The 20,284-nt window shown below is 41.1% G+C and overlaps 1 protein-coding gene and 1 long non-coding RNA gene across 32 annotated transcripts in view; one reads left to right on the top strand and one right to left on the bottom strand.

Moving 5' to 3' along the window:
* Nucleotides 1-20,284, top strand: part of ITGA6 (integrin subunit alpha 6) — a 79,124-nt gene that overhangs the window by 50,793 nt on the left and 8,047 nt on the right. For 6 of the 10 annotated variants that reach the window (XM_017004005.2, NM_001316306.2, XM_047444221.1 and 3 more), the window contains 15 exons: nt 1,513-1,611; nt 1,862-1,923; nt 6,654-6,814; nt 6,993-7,136; nt 8,895-9,010; nt 9,136-9,325; nt 9,419-9,502; nt 9,600-9,679; nt 9,833-9,910; nt 9,998-10,100; nt 11,357-11,530; nt 12,896-12,994; nt 13,093-13,203; nt 13,297-13,395; nt 19,847-19,972. In XM_017004005.2, the coding sequence (XP_016859494.1) occupies nt 1,513-1,611; nt 1,862-1,923; nt 6,654-6,814; nt 6,993-7,136; nt 8,895-9,010; nt 9,136-9,325; nt 9,419-9,502; nt 9,600-9,679; nt 9,833-9,910; nt 9,998-10,100; nt 11,357-11,530; nt 12,896-12,994; nt 13,093-13,203; nt 13,297-13,395; nt 19,847-19,972 (1,726 nt within the window). The remainder of the gene's footprint in view (nt 1-1,512; nt 1,612-1,861; nt 1,924-6,653; nt 6,815-6,992; nt 7,137-8,894; nt 9,011-9,135; nt 9,326-9,418; nt 9,503-9,599; nt 9,680-9,832; nt 9,911-9,997; nt 10,101-11,356; nt 11,531-12,895; nt 12,995-13,092; nt 13,204-13,296; nt 13,396-19,846; nt 19,973-20,284) is intronic. The other 4 variants (XM_017004006.2, XM_047444222.1, NM_001365530.2 and 1 more) reach the window with 1 other exon arrangement.
* The window catches only part of PDK1-AS1 (PDK1 and ITGA6 antisense RNA 1), a 92,199-nt gene that overhangs the window by 13,863 nt on the left and 58,052 nt on the right, over nt 1-20,284 (bottom strand). For 6 of the 22 annotated variants that reach the window (NR_199651.1, NR_199654.1, NR_199653.1 and 3 more), the window contains one exon: nt 17,247-17,388. This is a non-coding gene — a long non-coding RNA (PDK1 and ITGA6 antisense RNA 1). Of the gene's footprint in view, nt 1-2,603; nt 3,686-10,410; nt 10,522-12,941; nt 17,389-18,003; nt 18,099-20,284 lie in introns of those variants that run through there. The other 16 variants (NR_199660.1, NR_199659.1, NR_186177.1 and 13 more) reach the window with 12 other exon arrangements.

A 20,284-nucleotide genomic window follows, 5' to 3' on the forward strand; every position in this document is an offset into this window, starting at 1 on the left:
ACTTAAGAATGTATCTAGTTAGTATCTTAGAACCTAGCAGCTGTCTAAATGTAAAATAAAAATAGAATGGTAAACAATAAAGGAAAATGGAAAAACAGGGAATGTGGGCAGTATTTGACCCTTTATTGGACCCTACCTTCACTGTGAATGGACTTGTGCTCTAGCCTACCAACAGATTGATTCCAGAAGTTCGAGCTAGCTGTTTGGGATTTGGAATGCATTTTCTTGTAGAAACACTGTTCTCCAGAATGGCTGGGTTTACCACAAGCCCATCAGAGTCAGCCTAACTGAATCCACGTGGTAATGAAACCCCAGGCCCCATTCTGAGTTCTGGTGGGGAGCAATGGAGGTGGGCCTCCTCACCCACTCATACCCCTCAACCCACCGCATACCTGCATTTCTTGTGCCTGTGGCAGCAGTTGGGCCACAGACCCGTGGAGACCCCTGTGGCTGCTGGGAGCAGGGCAGCCAAAACATACGAAAAGATGTTTTCAGATGGTGAACCAGAGTAGGGCGTGGAATTGGATTCCAGCTTCTCAAGTGTTTGCGGGGTTGCAGTAGGCAGCGCAGAGATGGGAAGAAGTTTAAAAGTTTAAGTTTTTGCTTGCAGAGATATCGTGGGGGTAGAAAAGTTGTCAATCCTGGCAATAGGAAGGCAAAGACTGAAGGTTGTGGGTGGGAGACTCCGAGGGAGGCTGAAGAGAAGGGCAAGTGTTTGTACAATGGAGACTCCCAAGTTCAGGATTGCCTGTATTAATTCACATACTGTAGACACGCTGATCATGAGCATCTCAGGTATTAGGTGTTTGTTGGTGTAATTCTTCCAGAGGGTATGTTGGCAAGACTACTCGTAATTAAAAATGCACATATTCTTTGACTCCAAAATTCTGCTGCTGGGAATTTATCCCACAGATAAACTCAAGTGTGTGCACAGATGATGTTTGTGAAAGCAGAAAGCTCAACAACGTGAATGTCTACCGATTAGGTACTGGTTAAATAAAGGATGTTACACTGATACAGTGTAACGCCATCAGGTGTGAAAAACAGTGAACTAGATCTATGTGTATATACAGGACAAGACCTCTGAAATGGATGAGAAAAAGCCACATACAGAACAATGGCAATTAAGTTCCCATTTAGTTGAAATTATACATATATTTTAATATTTAATTTTAGATAATTTTAACTGACGTGTCTGGAAGAACATACAAGGCTACTTGGGTGTTCGGGTGGGAATGGAGACAAAATATTTACTTTAACCCCCACATGTTGCACATGTACTCATAAGTGTGTACGTTTTTAAACAAATATTGTATAATGAGGCTCTGCATTGTATACATTTATATCTATTAACAGTTATTTTCTTCAGCAATGGGGGAAAACGTCACGTGTATTTTTTTTCCTGTGTTTTTAAGCTGTGCTGGGCAGCTAAGGATGCTCTCTAGTATGTGAATTAGACTCACATTCAAGGTAACAGAGGCTGAGCTTGTTTTTCACTCCTTTTGTCTTCAGATCCCGGCCTGTGATTAATATTCAGAAAACCATCACAGTAACTCCTAACAGAATTGACCTCCGCCAGAAAACAGCGTGTGGGGCGCCTAGTGGGATATGGTGAGCATCCCTCTGTCTTGGTGGGATCCCCCTCAGTTTCCCACCTCCACTTCATGATGACTCTATTGTCCTGAGGAGCCACAGGGAAGATGACAGGAGTGCTGGGCAAAGGGAAGAGGGTCTGTCAAGTGTTTTTATAACATGTTGATCATCAATGGGCATTGGGGGGATTGGAGAGCTAGGGAACATGTTGGGTTTTTTCCACTGCAATAATGGATCTTTTAAGAAATATGTGTTTGATTTTATTCAGCCTCCAGGTTAAATCCTGTTTTGAATATACTGCTAACCCCGCTGGTTATAATCCTTCAATATGTAAGTACCTAGTACCTTTAAAATATGTCTACTTTCTGTCTGCCAGGTTGAAAGTTCTGCATAAATCACAGAAAAATAAAACTGCAGTGGCCAACATGGGTCTGTCAATTCTGGTGTAAAGAATTAAGTGTATGTTTTGTCTCCCTTTTAATCAGGAGGGCACAGCACCGTGAGGGAGGAAAAAAACTCCACTTGGTCGCCATTTGAGTTTTCCAGAGCAGATGGTTTAGGACAGAATGGCTTGGAAAAGTACTTATTTGCTACCACAACCATTTCCTCCATTTCTGTCTTTGAAAAGCAGTGTGGAAAATTGATTTTGTGGTTGTGAGGTGGTGGGTGGTGGCTGGTGGTTGTGAGGTGGTGGGTGGTGGCTGGTGGTTGTGAAAGGGCAACGGCAGGAGCCAGAGCACAGCACAGAGTCACTGCCAGGCTGCCTTCTCTTCCCCACGCCCCTCCCTCCCGGAACACCCGCCCTGTGTTCCCAAGAGCAGGCCCCTAGGGAATTTGCAAGCCGGCCCTGAGAGGTCAGAGACCTGGTCTCTGCTCCTGGTTTCAGCTTTGATACTGACTGACCCACAGGGCAAGTCCCTTAACATATGAGTTTGCTTTCCTGTCCGTTCAGAACAATGCCTAGTAGTCATTAGTGCATACAGTTGTGCTGGAGATCAACTGAGAAGACATGAAAAGCACTTTGTCATTTATTAGATACTGTTCTGCTTCCTTTTTTTGTAATTCAAAGTAAGATTTTTTTAAATTTTTGTGGATACATAGTAGGTGTATATATTTATGGGGCAACACAGGATTTTTGACAAGAATTTTGACACCGTTAATGATACTCTTAACAATAGTGGCCGTCGTAAGCTCTCCTCTGGCATGTTTTAATAGCAGCCACACTTCTTCAGCTGTGAGTCACCTGACCCCTGGCTCCAGAGTCAAGGCCAGGGGCATAGGAATTCCAAGAAAATCTTTTCTGCAAAGAGGAAGTGAAAAGAATGAGGAAATTCTCAACCCGGGTCCGGCCATGGTCCTGGCAGTTTGGGATTCTAGTGTACTGTATCTGCCACCAAGGGACACTTTGTGAAGAACAAGGTCATTCTGTCCTTTCATATGGTTGTCAGCCTTTACGATACTATGAGGTAATGAGTCCTCTGAAGTGTTCTCCCTGTTATCTAAAGTAGTAGTTTTCTTTATTTAAAAAGATGTCCCTTATAATATTCCAGAATATAACCTAATTCAAATAACCTAAAGTTGTTGCTTGAAACAGGAAAAAATAGCCACATAAGGACTAGGGTTTGCAATGGTGAATCCTCTCACACGTCACAGCTCTGTTCTTAGCTGTACTCTAATTCTTCTTTAACTTTATATGAAGTTTTATATAACACTAATGAATGTATCCACTAAGACAACAGAATGAAGATACTGACCTGTGATAAAGTTCAGTGAATTATGAAAAGGGACAGTTTAAATAAATGTACTGTCTTTAATTTTTTTTAAGTCCCCCTTCACCTGATTCTCAGTGTCATAAGCTCAGTTAGCCTTCATCTTTCCAGATTTCGAGCTGTCTGCAGGTGGTTTCTCCGTCTCCCCTTCTGTGGGGTCGTCTCCTGCTGTGTGGTCTCTCCATGGGACCTGCAGACCTTGCACGAAGCATTCTTAGAGTGGATGGATTATGACTTCGTGCACAGGGGGAGCTGTGGCCTTTTGCTTTGCTTTTTGATGCAGCCGGCATTTTGTCGAGTGTAGAAAGCAATTCTTTGTGTGGCTTTTAATGACAAGAAAATGTATACTGTGACTCTTCAGGATCTATCATCCTTTCAGTATCATTTGTGTTATTTTTACCCAAATGCCATACCTTACACTAGCCCACTTGGATAATGGGCCCTTTGCCAGTGTTTGGAATGAATTAGAGAGACAAGGAGAAAACAGTGATTCTTTGACTAGGCAGCCAGAGAAAAAGGGGAAACATTTTTATTCTGTTCTGATGGCCATTTTTTCAAACCACTCTCAGTTTGACTGTAGATGTGAAATATCATCAGAGCACTCCTTGACTTCCCCCAAATTAATCACCTATATAAAATACAGACTTTCTCCTAGCTGTAGCACAGCATTTGATGCCATGTGTATTACTTTTATGTTATGTAGCTACTCCATTAACCAAGTGTTTATGGATGGCCTTTTATGGGTGGAACTTTCCTTTGAAGACATTCAAAGAACATTTGCTTTCATTGCTTTTACTTCCACAGTAAATTCTAAATGAACTAAGACAGAACTTCTACAAAGCTACATAAGTTAATACATCTAAAATCTTCTCCCAGTAGCCAAGAATGTGAGCTTATTGTTTGACTGGGCTATTTTAGCTCAGCAGTCCTCAGATGTGGTGTTCCATACATATAGATATCTATAATTGAGCCGTAATGAGTGTTCTACTTGGCTTGCCCCTCAAGCAGTTAGCAAAGGTGGCCTGCAAAGATTTTAAGATGATGTGGACTGTCTGGAGGGTTAGGGAAGGTTAGAGTGAATTTGGCAGATAAACGGTTTTCCTGCACCCACACCTCCCATACTTTTGCTGTGAGGGGCACTTTTGCTGTGAGGGGCACTCAGCGTGTGAGCCTTTATCTGGTTCATTGTGAAGCTAGCAGGTCACTTATAAATGGATGATGTCAAGGCTGCAGAGGCCTAAAATGGGGGAGCATTCCATTTGGCAGCTGTGACATTTAAGAATTCTCCAGATGGACACAAAAATTACTATTGAAACTGTCAGTGTTTCTAAATTTTGTTCTGAATAGCTCACATTCAGCATAAGAATGTCACATCGTGTGTGTGCGCATGTGTGTGCAAGTGGGGAACCAGTTACTGCCACTTCTGTTCATCTGTTCCATAAATCATATGTCTATCAGGTGTTGTGCTAGTTGCTGGGGACTGTGGTGGGGAATAAGACTGATGTGATCCTTGTCCTCGGCTTTGCCCCACTGTGGGAGACAATCAGGAAATCACAGCGTAGTGGGCTTAAATGTAGAGACTGGAGAGATGGAATACTCTAGGATCGCGAAGAGAGGCCAGGACAGGCTTCCTGGAGGAGGTGAGGTCCAAGCTGAAATCTGAAGGGGAAGGGAGGGCTTAGCCAAGCAGGCCAACACTGCTGGGAGGTGGAAGGGAAAAGAAGGGAAAGACAGCTGGCTGAGGGAAGGAGTGACTCCTGCGGTGGTTAGGAGGCAAGTGAGACCTGGGCATCTAAGACCCTGTAGAAAGCAATCGCCTTTTGTGTTTGTGATAGAGACTCAGAAGCTGGTGCTGCTTCTGTCCCTCTCAGTATGACCCCAAGCCTCCCCAGAAAAGGTCTCTTCCAACTCTAAAGTGAATATTAGAATGTGAGTTATTCATTTTCTGTGTTTTCTGTAGCAGATTTTTGTCCTGGAGATTGCCTTCTCCAGCCCTCTGCACACTTTGGTTTGCTTTCCCTTTTGATGGTTAGTGACTGCTTAATGAATGTAAGTAATTTAAGTATTGGCCCATGAAAAACAAAGTTAGCAGCCACATCTAATGAACCAACAAAGAATGCGTTCTGAAGTAAAAAAATGAGATTCTGATCATCCACATCCTAGCTTCCCTCCAGGTTCCATTAGTGTAGGTTATCAAGAACAGGCTGTGCCTTCTAGCCCAGTGCAAGGTAGGCAGTTTGGTTGTGGGAGCTATATTATGCTGACCGACAGGCCCTCCATCCACTCAAAAATATATAATTTACCTTGTAATTCTTTTTTATCTTTATTATTATTTTTTTGAGAAAGTTTTGCTCTTGTTGCCCAGGCTGGAGTGCAATGGCATGAATTCAGCTCACTGTAACCTCTGCCTCCTGGGTTCAAGCGATTCTCCTGCCTCAGCCTCCCGAGTAGCTGGGATTACAGGCATGCGCCACCAAGCCCAGCTAATTTTTGTATTTTTAGTAGAGACAGGATTTCACCATGTTGGTCAGGCTGGTCTCAAACTCCTGATTTCGGGTGATCCACCCACCTTGGCCTCCCAGAGTGCTGGGATGCCAGGCAGAATTCACTGTGCCCATCCTCTTTTTTATTTGTTAAGGTAAAGGTCTCATCCTACTGTCGAAAGACTTCTCCATCTCTAAAATATATTATTCCTCTGTTTAGACAACTATCCTTTATCAGTGCTTCTTAAAACTTTAATACGTATAAGAATCATCTGGTGATGCTGTTATTAATAAAGCAGATTCTGCTTCCGTAGGTGTGACTGGGCCTGAGGTTCTGCATCCTCACAGGCCCTCAGGAGATGCTGCTGTTCTAGAGATCTTTCCCAGATAGCAAAGGCACGAGGCCACTTGAATAAGCATTGACTGGTTTAAAGGGAGAAAATCAGTTTAGGTGCTCGGGGGAGTGTTGGGTTCCTCTGCTTATCGTTAGTATTCTGTGGGTTCATGAACTTCAGCCAGAAACTGATTCTTAATAACTGCTGCTGCTGAAAGGTTTTAACTTATTCTTGAGCTCCCCCAGGTGGCACAATGAAAATTTAACTTTGAAACATTGTTAACAGCAAAAGGAAGGAAAAGACAGCTTGATTTGAACCATCACAATTGTGCAAATGCATATTACCAGGAAATATGAAGAGAAACAATGGCAATGTTTTCTACAAGGAATTAAAATCTTAAAAGGAGTTCAACATGCTTGTGGCTGGATTGTGCATGAATGCACTTACGTTAATATGATTTTAATTTTATCTAGCAATTGTGGGCACACTTGAAGCTGAAAAAGAAAGAAGAAAATCTGGGCTATCCTCAAGAGTTCAGTTTCGAAACCAAGGTTCTGAGCCCAAATATACTCAAGAACTAACTCTGAAGAGGCAGAAACAGAAAGTGTGCATGGAGGAAACCCTGTGGCTACAGGTGAGGGCTGCAGATGGTCACATCTGTTTTATGAAGAGGACAGAAAAAGGTTATATGGTGATATACAGATTTCTGAAATTTATTCTGGCAACCTCTTAATCAATACAAAATCATTGTTTTGGAATTCCCCAATAGCATGTACACCCCACTTAACTCTGACTGCATGCTTTTCATGCAGGATAATATCAGAGATAAACTGCGTCCCATTCCCATAACTGCCTCAGTGGAGATCCAAGAGCCAAGCTCTCGTAGGCGAGTGAATTCACTTCCAGAAGTTCTTCCAATTCTGAATTCAGATGAACCCAAGACAGCTCATATTGATGTAAGTCTCTCTGACTTTCATTTTGCCAAAGTTTTTTTGCCATTTATGATGCTAAATCAAATGTCTTTGAAGGGAATAGAACTAGTGATTTGCTTTAAAGGCCATTCTTTTGTGTTAATATGTTTTTAATGTACGCAAAGTTAGAGAAGACTTGTTTCCCAAATTAGCAATAAACATAAAAACATGAAATACAATTTGGGGCCAGAGCGTATTTTCCTTCTTCATTTTTGGCCATTATAACCTATCGAGACTATAAATGGTAGAGCTTATATTCTAACACTGTTTCTCCTTTAGCTGTACATAGAAAGAAAAATACATTGTGTTTTACTTACCATTGAGAATACTGAAATGTAGAAAGCAGTGTGTTGCTAGTCAGAACATTAAAATCAAGGAATATCAAAATTCAGCAAAGCAAAAAAGTATTATTAGCATACAGTAGTCATTTAGTGCCTAATATAGCCTAAGTCATCTTTGGAAGAAAAATGTGTATTAGATGGCCTGTGGGATACCTCATATGAGGTGGGGTCTGTTTGCTAGGGGTTTAGGATGGTTAAGGTGCAAGGTTAGCCCGGGCAGCTATGACAGCTTGATTTGGCATTATGTTCTTGCTTTCAAAATCTAATTGATGATGAACGGGTGTGGTGGCTCATGCCTGTAATCCCAGAACTTCGGGAGGCCGAGGCGGGCAGGTCACTTGAGGTTAGGAGTTTGAGACCAGCCTGGCCAACATGGTGAAACCCCGTCTCTAGTGAAAATACAAAAGTTAGCGGGTATGATGGAGCATGCCTATAATCACAGCTACTCAGGAGGCTGAGGCAGGAGAATGCCTTAAACCCGGCAGGTGGAGTTGCAGTGAGCCGAGATGGCACCACTGCACTCCAGCCTGGGCAAAAAGAGTAAGACTCTATCTCCAAAAAAAAAAAAAAAAAAAAACAACTAATTGATGATGAGTGTCTGTCCACTATGGGGCTGCTGGTACTGGTGCCTTACTGAGGCAGCTTTGCAGAAGTGAGTCCTCACTGTCTCAGGAGCTGATGCTTACATCTGCATATTGTCAATCATTTTTGTCACCAAATATAGTTCCTTATATTTCTGTATACTTTTATGTACTTTTATTATTATCATGTTAATATTACTTGTGTACATTCCCAGCTCCATAGCTAGAGATGATTTTCTATTTATCGGTGTGATTATCAAGAACCCATTGGCATGGTGCTAGTATGCTGTTTGCTTACCTGACCTTAAGCTCTCTGTTTCGTCATCTCTACAATGGAGATCATAATAATAGTATCTTTTTAGAGGCCTGTTGTGAGGATTAAATGAGTTAAGATATGTAAATCGAGTATTATAATCGTTGGTATCATCATTATTATTGATACTTCTTATAGTAGCCCTATAAAGTTAGAATGGTGGTATCTCCACGTTACCTATGATGAAACTTGGACTCTGAAAGGTTAAGTGACTTGCTAGCTAAGTAAGGGGTAGAGCTGCGTTTCAAACCCAAATCTGTGTGGCTGCTGGGTCACACTCTTCTATACCACACTGCCTCCATGCCCTGGTCAAAGTGTTCTTCAAACACAATTTTACTAAAGGACAGAATGGAAATTTGATGTGTGGCAAAGTACATTTAAAGCTTGAATTCTGCATTGGTAATTGTCACACAGGGAAATGAACTGTGTGGAATAGCCAGTCACCTACATCGATGCCTTCCTGAGTCCTGAATGGTGTAAATTGACAATAGTTTTCGTTTTCCTACAGGTTCACTTCTTAAAAGAGGGATGTGGAGACGACAATGTATGTAACAGCAACCTTAAACTAGAATATAAATTTTGCACCCGAGAAGGAAATCAAGACAAATTTTCTTATTTACCAATGTAAGAATCGTTGTGTAGCACTAGCAAAAATGATTCTGGCTTCATGGTGGCTTTGTGTTAAGAAAGTTTACTGGAAACGTATTGAGGACTTTGCCTTTTTGTTCTTGTTTTCTTATTTTTAATAGTCAAAAAGGTGTACCAGAACTAGTTCTAAAAGATCAGAAGGATATTGCTTTAGAAATAACAGTGACAAACAGCCCTTCCAACCCAAGGAATCCCACAAAAGATGGCGATGACGCCCATGAGGCTAAACTGATTGCAACGTTTCCAGACACTTTAACCTATTCTGCATATAGAGAACTGAGGGCTTTCCCTGTAAGTATTGTTAGAGACCAGCTGAGAGGGGAAAAAAATCAACACTGTGTGGCAAATGAGTGGATTGTGACCTAGCGTGTGTTTCTTTTACAGGAGAAACAGTTGAGTTGTGTTGCCAACCAGAATGGCTCGCAAGCTGACTGTGAGCTCGGAAATCCTTTTAAAAGAAATTCAAATGTAGGTGATGCCTTCATATACTGTATTTTACTGTTTTAAATACCATTGCAGTGTCTGTATGCATGGCCTGTGTTAACAGCTATTTATGTTTTTTTAGGTCACTTTTTATTTGGTTTTAAGTACAACTGAAGTCACCTTTGACACCCCAGATCTGGATATTAATCTGAAGTTAGAAACGTAAGAGTTACATCAACCTCTCCATTCAGAATTATTTCATGAAAATATGGGCAGTCAATGAATTGGCCCTGATCTACCTCATAAAAGAAGTCTAATTGTAGTGAGAAAACTGACTGGTAAAATACAACCCTATTGTTTCCTTTTCATTTTCAGAACAAGCAATCAAGATAATTTGGCTCCAATTACAGCTAAAGCAAAAGTGGTTATTGAACTGCTTTTATCGGTCTCGGGGTAAGTGTTTGTGTTTAGCATAACAAATCAATGTTTGAAAGAACCATTTACAATCCTCATTAAAACTGGTGTTTTTTAATTTGACAGAGTTGCTAAACCTTCCCAGGTGTATTTTGGAGGTACAGTTGTTGGCGAGCAAGCTATGAAATCTGAAGATGAAGTGGGAAGTTTAATAGAGTATGAATTCAGGGTAAGTTGGAGCAGTTGGTCTTTTCATTATACCAAAAGCTGACATATACTAGGTATGGTCTTGAGTATGTCATTTTAATAAATCAGCAATATTAATAAGCATTGTAAGTAAATCATGAGTTAAAAATTAGTTTGCCAGCTTTTAAAGAACATACTGGCTTATAGTAAAAATTTTATCCTCCAGGATGGAGAACAATTGTCACTGTTCAGAATCCAGTTCAGTTTAGAATGCGTTATGATTTATTCCTTCCTCCTTTATAAGGTCATCTTTCTCACTGCTTGTGGTTGAAAGAATATTAATGTATGCCTACCTTTCACAAGCCCAGTTTTTGTGGTGAATGTAGATTTGGTATATGCCTGTAGGAAAGGCAGTGACTGGCTCTGAACCATTTCAAAGTAGGCAATCACAGTGACTCTCTGTCCTGTTGAATAAACATAAACATAGGGTACAGAGTCTGTTCGTAACTCACACATGGGTTTAGGTCTGTGTGGCTGAAATCACATTCCTGAAGGCATAGTGACCACTGTGGTGAAAGCCTCAAATGGCAAGCATGGGCCCACCTGACTCCGGCAGAATGAAGAGGCTGAATTCTCCTCTGTGTGTCTCTTAGCATTATAGACACAGCTGGGGCAGGTGGTGGTGGTGGTTATGATCTCTATGCAGGTGCAGCTGGAAAAGAAGTCTTTGGGTTCTGGAACAGTCTCGACACCAAGAGGGCTCTTACCTCCTGTGTTTGGCTTCTGCCGCAGGACGTCACTCTGTTCCCAGCTTGGACTCTCAGATTCATGGCTGTCCTAATAATGGTTTTGCAGAATCTCCTCTGGGACAGAGGCAGCTTCATTTTTGCAGTGGATGGGGTTTTCCAGAAGCAGGTTGTTGGTACACTGCCTTGGCCCAGGACTTGTCATTGGCCAAGCAGGGTGGTTACAGGGCAGTTCACAAATTCACACATGATTTTCCCTGGGCGTATGTTGAGAACATGGTATATCTACACTGCTGATTCTGTTGCATACAGCAGTTGTTCCTAGAACGAGTTAGCTATCAGTTGTCCTTTGACCTTTTTGTTTTTATTTACAAAAATCTTTAGGCACAAGTCTTTATTTTGAATGCCCTATCTATAGTCCATTTTTGGAGCCTGTGCTTTTATTATAGGATTACGTTAGATATTTTAGCTTCTTTCTCTTGGTAAAAGGAGCTGCTACTTAAATTTACATTGAGAAGATTAGACTGAGATAATATGTATTATTTTCTAACAGGTAATAAACTTAGGTAAACCTCTTACAAACCTCGGCACAGCAACCTTGAACATTCAGTGGCCAAAAGAAATTAGCAATGGGAAATGGTTGCTTTATTTGGTGAAAGTAGAATCCAAAGGATTGGAAAAGGTAACTTGTGAGCCACAAAAGGAGATAAACTCCCTGAACCTAACGGTATGTCGGTAGATTTATCTAATGTCTCCATAAATGCAAATTAGAGAAACTAACTTGTTAGGGGAAAATCATTACTGTTCTTAGGAAAGTGGCATATTCTGGCAGGTTGACTTTCTCTTTGGTTGTCACAATTTCTCTTTTCTAGTTGGGTAACTGAGGGAGGCTGAGGCATTTTTGCTGGTTAATGACCATTATAGTACATAAGGCAGAGTCATTCAGTGCTTGCTGAGGCAAATGGTATTTTCTGATGTTTCATCATGACCCAGTATGTTACATAATAAGGAGAACTGGGGGATGCTCCTGGGGTAATAGTAGCTGCTGTTATCCAGGGGCCAGCCAGTGTTCACTCCAAGTAGAACCAAACTCATTGGAAAAGATAATGGCATCTCAGCAAGTAACCTTGAAAGCTTTTTATGCTTATTTTTAAAATAGTAATTATTTATTGTGTACTCATTGTGTCTCAGGAACTATGCTAAGCATTTTGTTTTCATTTTCTCATTTCATTCTCTGGATGGTCCTATGAGGGCGTTTCATTATCCTCACCATTTCACAGATGAGGACATTAAGATTCAGAGAGCAAGTAACTCTCTCAGTCACTCAGGCGTTAAGAGACAGATTCCACATACAAGCCCTGCTCTGCCTGATGTCAAAGCCTGTACTGTTAACCCCTCTCTCTATACTGCTCCATGCTTAGATAACTGGCCTATCATTTGTGTTCCAGTTTGATGAAGGTTTGCATGTTTATTTCTTTTATTTTAAATTCTAAGGTGACTGGGTATGATCAGTGATCAGAGTTGGTGGCTTATAGCATGATCTTCTACTCATCAATGTTAAAAATCAAGATAATCGGTTATTACTAATCTTTGCTATAAGGAAAATGCAATTTTAAAAGTTCTTGTATGGCTTAGTTTTCATTGCTCTGCTCTGAATGAGCTATATAATGGGTCTTTTTGCTTCTTTCTCTGTTCTTCAGTGTCACTTATTCCTTCAAGATGTGCTGACTACCATGTTTTAGGAACAGAGCTGGAGGCTAGGGATACAGGAATAAGATTTGATCTCTGATCTCAGTATGCCCACAGTTTGGTGGGGATACAGAGGAACAAAGAAAGCATATTTCTCTTTCTCTGAGTTTTAAGGTCAGAGTGGGAATGAATTACTTAGTCCTATGAGTAAATCAATAAACTTGAATTTAGAGTGATAATACTTGCTGGTTTTACACTTACTTCTGTGCCTTTGGCAGGAGAGAGGCAAATATTGTTGATTATGTGAATCTGGCACTGTTTGGGAGGATATGCTCAAGAGGCTTGTATGGTAATGACAAAGAATTACATAAATTGGAACTATTTTGGATATAATTTTTTTCAGGAGTCTCACAACTCAAGAAAGAAACGGGAAATTACTGAAAAACAGATAGATGATAACAGAAAATTTTCTTTATTTGCTGAAAGAAAATACCAGACTCTTGTAAGTATTTTTCAAGAGCTGTGAATATTTGAGAGGATGAGGGGAAGGATTTCTTCAGAACAATGTCTTTTGATGACCATTCTTCTTTTTCTCTCTAGAACTGTAGCGTGAACGTGAACTGTGTGAACATCAGATGCCCGCTGCGGGGGCTGGACAGCAAGGCGTCTCTTATTTTGCGCTCGAGGTTATGGAACAGCACATTTCTAGAGGTATGACCTTGGCTTGAGGCTGTCCCATGGAAGTAATTTGCCTTTGCCTAGGACACTTTTCACTTCCCTAATGCATTCACTGTCTCCAAACAGGAATATTCCAAACTGAACTACTTGGACATTCTCATGCGAGCCTTCATTGATGTGACTGCTGCTGCCGAAAATATCAGGCTGCCAAATGCAGGCACTCAGGTGAGAGGTTCCCCAGCTTCATTCAGGTTCAGAACATGTCTCTTTTCCCTGTACCCCACACTCATGTCCTGAAGTCATGTGCTTTGGTGCTCATTTCCCTCATAGCCCCATTACGGAGAAAACTGTCTTAAGGTACTGGCACTGCAAGCTGTATTTTAATAGAATCATTGAAAAAAAGAAGTAAATCTAGGGTCATCCAGTTCAGCAGTGCCCATGGTAGGTTTGAGAACTACTGGCTCAATTCAGAGAATGGGTGCACCTCACAGCCCTCTAGAAACCTGTGTCTTCTACCATCTCTAATGCTGCAGCCATTGGTGTAATGCCCCAGTGATGGCCCATCCCTTGGCCAGCTGTAATTATTAAAAAAGATCTCTTCATAGCTGACTCCTGAACTGAACCTTGTAAGTCCCTGGTTATGCCCCTCAAACAAGTCTAAAATAAGTTCTCTCTCTTGGCCATGTAGCAGCCTCTCAAATAATTGAAGGAAATGGTCATGCCTCCTTGGATGTTTCTTATTCTTCTCAGAGCTTATGCACCCAGCTCTTGAGTTATGCGTCACATTGGGCACAGCTGAACTGGCTCCTGGCCTCTCCCTTCCTGGGCAATTTGATTCCCACGTGGACAGAGCAGCTGAGGTGGGGTCTGCTTGGTCCCACTTACCCTGGGGCCTTTACCTCTCAGCATCTCGGCACCACACTTCTGTCAGACCTGCCTAAAATTTGCTTTTTCAAACCATTGCTGAGCAGCATGTTTGAATTTCTAGCAGCTGCTATTTTTGTGTTAGTGTTCTACTGAAACTTCCAGGTGTTTTCATCAGAATTTGTTGTCAAGCTGTGTTTCCAGTATCCTGTCCTTGAGCTATTTGTAAAAATCTAAATGTATGCCTTTAAGTGTATCCTTACATTTTATGTGATTTGCTTTGGGTCCATTGTTTCAGTTTGCAAAGTAATTCTGAATCTTGCTTCATCATTTGCTTTCTCAACTTTCTATCCCTGAAAGTTTTAAAAACTGAGAAGCATGTTCTCTATGTCTTCATCCAGGTAATGACAAATATGTTGAATAGGACTAGGTGTAGAACCTTGTAGTGAACCAATAGTGAGGGGTTCCCTGTGGGAGTCTAGAACCCACAGGGACTTGTATAAAGATCTCGAGGCAGAATGACTGCATGTCATGGTGGGAATAATGAATGGGAATGTTTTGCAAAAGAGACTGGAGAAAGAAATACTGTGAATTACTGTTCTTAAGTTAATCTGCCAGTCTACTTATGGAAATGTTCTGGCTTCAGTCATTTAGCTAGCTGAAAATTCAGGGAGCCTCCCTAATCATTCTGTTTTCTGAAATATAGCAGTCCTTACGATTTATTATCCAAGCAAGAATACATTTTTGTTTTTATTTAGTTTTTTGAGATGGAGTCTTGCTCTGTTACCCAGGCTGGAGTGCAGTGGCGCAAACACAGCTCACTGCAGCCTTGAATGCCTGGGCTCAAGCAATCCTCCTGTCTCACCTCCTGAGTAGCTGGGACCACAGGCATGCCACCACGCCCAGCTAATTTTTCAGTTTTTTTTGTATAGCCAGAGTCTCACCATGTTGCCCAGGCTGGTCTTTAACTCCTGGACTCAAGCAATCCGCCTGCCTCAGCCTCCCAAAATGCTGGGATTATAGGTGTGAGCCACTGCACCCAGCCCCAGGATACATTTGCCTGAGACAAATGCTGTACTGGGCAAGCTGCTGCGATAAGTGGTATCAACCAGCACTGTCCCGGTCTCTCCAGGACATATCAACAGGCATCATAAGGGACTTTCAAATAAACCACACCTTCCCTAAGGATCCTTTCTCTGCATCTATAAAGGCAGCAGGTATAGCTTTCTATAACTGTAAATCAGCAACTCTGAAAATCACTGAGATTTCAGAGCTAGACAGAGAACACTTTAGAGGGAAGGGACTAACATTAATGAAGCCTTAATAAAATGTCTGCAGCTTACTAGATACTTTATACTCTATCATTCAAACTTCAGAAGAATGCCAAGGGTAAACATTGTACTCATTTTACAAACAAGGAAGCAGACTCAGAGAGGGGATATAATTTGAGACCCTCAATTGAAACCTGTAATTGTCTGACTTCAGGGCTTCTGTTCTTTGACTCTGTGGCACTTGGTCCCCTTAAAGTCCCCAAATCTCAAATTGAGATAAGAAAACTGAATCCAAGGAAAGGTATCTCCCCGTCAGGGTCACCCGACCAGCAAGTAGAGCTGAGACCAGACCTTGGGTCTGATGTCTCCTCTTCAAGTGCTGTCTTCTTCTGGAAGATGATGGAACTCTGGGGGCCCTGGTGTCCAGTCTGATGACTGGGTCACAAATGAAAGTGAGGTTCTCTTGGGCATTTTATGTTCTTAGAGCTTGGAGAACTCATGCCTCCCAGTGGGAATTGATGTCTTCACAAATTGGTAGATTTGTGAATGGGTTACTGGTCTCATATCTAGAACCCATGTCTTTTGAAAATTGAGACATTTTCTTAACCTCTAGTCTTCTGACACCTTTTCTGTTTTCTGTGATTTCTGACATACAATAGCTCAGATGTCATATCTGCACATTTCTTGAGTAGTTTGAGCTGTAGTTTTTCTGGGCTTGAAGATCTAAGCTTAATTTGGCTTAAAAAAGCAAAAAAACTTTTTTGTTTCTTTATAACCCCACGAATTTCAAGAGTTTTGTGTTCATCTTTTAATAAAACACAGTTAAACTTTGGGAGGCCAAGGCAGGCGGATTGCTTGAGCCCAGGAGTTAGAGACCAGCCTGGGTAACATAGCAAAACCCCATCTCTACAAAAAAATACAGAAATTAGCCAGGTGGGGTGGCACATGCCTGTATTCCCAGCTACCTGGGAGGCTGAGCTGAGAGGATCACCTCAGCTCAGGAAGTCGAGGCTGCAGTGAGCCAAGAGTGTGCCACTACACTCCAGCCAGGACAACAGAGTGAGGCCCTGTCTCAAAACAAACAATAAAAAACACTTCTAAATTAGGATACTATTATAATGAAGTCAGGGAGAGCAGAAGTCACATGATTGAGCCAGGTAAGCCATGCTATATTTTAGCATCAGTTAAATTAAATCCATCTTGTTAATAAACACCCATGAAAGACACATGTATGCCTTCCCTGTGCTAAATGTTAGAGATGCAAAGTTGGGTAAGATACAGTGTCAACTGTTAAGAATGTCATGCTGTAGGAGACAGAACCAGGAAAACACTGTCAAATTAGCCAGGGAAATTGAGGGGGATTGTTTATTGGTTGTATTTATATTGTCCCCATTTATCCCTAAGGAAGCAAGTAGAGAGTATCCAAGCTTCCTGGCTGTCAAAATTTTTTTTAAAATGACCAAAAAAATGCATAATTCTTCAGGGGAATAAGATTTTCCCTTTTGGCTCTAAATTCAGAGAACAACTTAAAATTCAGAGAACAACTTAAGATACGGATCCTTTTATAAGATGGCCTGTTATATGATAAACACCAAGAGTGGATGATGTCCTTAATAGATAATTTTGTAAAAGATACGAAAATCCCTTCATTGGGTGACTTCCTGTACTGAATGAAGTTCAATGAGAACAGTGGGTGGTACATTACAGGGTAATTTAGAGAAGGTATTTTGGCAGTTGACAAGCTAATGTAGTCTCAGCACTGCTCACTGGTAATCGAATTTAATGCATCAACAGAGCTTATATCCCTCTTCCCCTTATGGGCACATGGTGGATGAGTTTCACAGGTGTGCGTCATCCCCATGGAAATAACTACATTGTAATGAAACCAAAGGTAAGAAATTATTTTTGGAGTTGTAAAGCTCTACAGTAGTTTCTACTCACCTGTTCATCAGTAACAGTTGGTGTGACAAGACAGAACAAGGCTTGGAGCTCTGGGAATCACAGCCCACCCTTTGTCTTCCATCTTTGGTCACCTGGCTCTATGGCCAGCTTCCCCTTGTTCTCAATCCCAGCTGGAGAATGACTGTCATACCAGAAACAAAAACAAAAAAAACAAAAACACCTTCAGTTGACAGTTTAAGCAAACAACCAATAAAGTCTTCCTGACTGGCCTCTCGCCCTCCAGAACCACGGAGCACATCTGCCCTTTAAATGTGTAGCCAACCCAGTCCCTGACTTTGGTTCTCAGTCTTTGATGCCCAGTGAGTTAACAATATGTGGAAGTTCTGGTTTGAATGGTGCCAGGCCTGGGGCTTAGAGCTTCAGCTGGATTCCCATCCACCCTGCCACTCCAGGCTGCAAAATCAAAAATTACTTTGCTCAGTTGTTAACAATATTGGATCCCAACCATTTATGGGGGTGGCTTTCCCCTACTGTCAGCTGTTTTAAAGACACTTGTGCACAGTGTCATTATAATAAAGCTGATTCTCCTTGCCGAAGACCAGTTTCCACTCTCCACTTCCAGATTTACTGGAACTTTTTCTTACAAATGAGGATGGCCCTTCCACATGACCATCTTGCCCTGAGGATACACTGTACACCTTCCTTGTGTTAGATAATAGGGCAACAAAGTTAAACAAGATACAGTTTAGGCTAATTGAAATCATCTATTTGGTTTGTTTCATTGTAGTCAGCTTACCAACCACGTAACTATTCTATTGCTTCACTGGTCTGTCCCTGTTTCTTCTTCCCTTCTTTGTAGATGTCCCTGTGCTGAACGCAGTAATCTCTTCCCTGTCAGGGGAGGGAAGGAGAGGGGAAGTGAGCCACGAGGCCACCTTGGGGCTCAGAGCTTGTAGAAAACCTCATTTAGAGCATAACAGGAAACATGGTGGCTGATAAAGGTGTTTTATGCCTGCCTGTTACCATCAGTATAATTGGCTAAATCTCAAGATGTGATTGCTGTCTATTGAATGTTTAAAGAAAAGCAGTTTTGCTGCTTTTAAGTATTTTTTGTAAGTCAGGTGAGGTTGAGAAACTGTTTCCTAGAAGTGGAAAGGGAAGTACTTTGATGAGAGATTTTTTTAAAGAAAAACACCACCGCATAGAAGTATTGAAGCACAGTGTAGACATAGCAGCATCCAGGGTTCAATATGGACATAGAATATTTGACTGAAAACACTTCTCAGAAGTTAAATGCTCCCCCTGAGTTTTGTTTCCCTTTACTTTACATTCTCTTAACTCAGAAATATCAGAAACTTCAAACCAGTGGATCTCTAATCAGTGTAGTTTACAAAATCATGTTCACAATAATCACCAGGTCTTTAGCATGCTTTGAAAAATAGTTCCTGGTATCACAAAAGTTCATTTGCATTCTAAACCCATGTAACTGAGTTGTTGGAATTGCCAGAAGCAGCTTTTTAGGTTTCTGAGTAAACACCATTTCTATTTAATTGATATTTGCAAACTATCCTATGTTTAGAGTTTAAGCTTCTCAGCAGCAGGAGCAACTTAAGCGCTAAGCTGCCTCTGAGTGGGTCCAGGGTCTAGTTTGTTCATATACCTTTTTGTAGAAGATGGCACCAAGCCATTTCAGGAAATGTTATTGTTTATGAGGGTCTTTAGTGTGATATCCTAAGAAAAAGGTAAAATGGTGTCCATCAGTCATGCAGCCCTATCCCTATTTTTGTATTTCACAACATCTTTAAAGTCTGAATGAGGAATGTTGGCTACTTTTGCCTAAACTGGCCCTTTTCTTTCCATTGCTGAATATTAATTAAAAGAAAGTATAGGCCAGGTGAGGTGGCTCATACTTATGATACCCACACTTTGGGAGGTCAAAGCAGGAGGATCACCTGAAGCCAGCACTTTGTGAACAACATAGACCCTGTCTCAACAAAAAAATTTTTAAAAAAATTAGCTGTGAGTGGTGGCATGCGCCTGTAGTCCCAGCTACTTGGGAGGCAGCTGAGGTGGGAGGATCACTTGAGCCTGGGAGGTTGAGGCTGCAGTGACCCATGGTCACACCACTTGCACTCCAACCTGGGCAACAGAGTGAGACCCTGTCTCCAAAAAAAAAAAAAAAAAAGTATGATTGTTCTCAAAAAGATACCAGGTTAGATAGATAGAACAGACTGGCTGTTAGATCTATTTAACTGGGTATCTTTTTGAGAGCAATTTGTTTAGATACACAGACTGGCTGTATATTGATAATTGCTGGAACAGGATGATGAATACTTAAGGGTTCATTATACAGTTTACTTGTGTTGATAACAAATTTTTTTTAAGATACATTAACAAAGAAGTAACCACTTTGTCAGAATACAACCCAGCATTTTCAAGATTCTGGGGAAAGATCTTCAAGGAATGTCTCTTGAAGCAATATTCTGTTAAGAGAAAGGATCTTGCATCAGAAAGTCATCTCATCCATTCACAGGCTGCATTGTCCAAAATATATTCAAAAGCAGAATTAGAACCATAAACTCCTGGTGTGAACTCTTGCCGCTGTATGTAGTAATGCTGCTTTCTTTTCTGCCCTGTAGGTTCGAGTGACTGTGTTTCCCTCAAAGACTGTAGCTCAGTATTCGGGAGTACCTTGGTGGATCATCCTAGTGGCTATTCTCGCTGGGATCTTGATGCTTGCTTTATTAGTGTTTATACTATGGAAGGTAAGTCATATCTGGCATTTGAATTTCATAACAAACTTTATTTCATGTTTTAAAAAATGGGAATCAGCACTGATAGTACGTTTTCTTTTTCATTGCTTCCTTTTTTCTAACATTATGAAACTCTTTTGACATAGCAAATTTGAGGAAAATTTTACCATGAACACCTGTATATTTACCGAATATTTTGTATTTAAAGTATATTATTTGTACACAATAAGTTTCTTCATTTGTCTCTCACACATAATTTAGCATGTTTAGCAAATAACAAATTTAGATTTTATTACTTTAGCATTTTCTTCACCTAAGATATAA

This window comes from Homo sapiens, chromosome 2 (assembly GCF_000001405.40).
Source record: "Homo sapiens chromosome 2, GRCh38.p14 Primary Assembly".
In the NCBI taxonomy this organism is placed as follows: domain Eukaryota; kingdom Metazoa; phylum Chordata; class Mammalia; order Primates; family Hominidae; genus Homo; species Homo sapiens.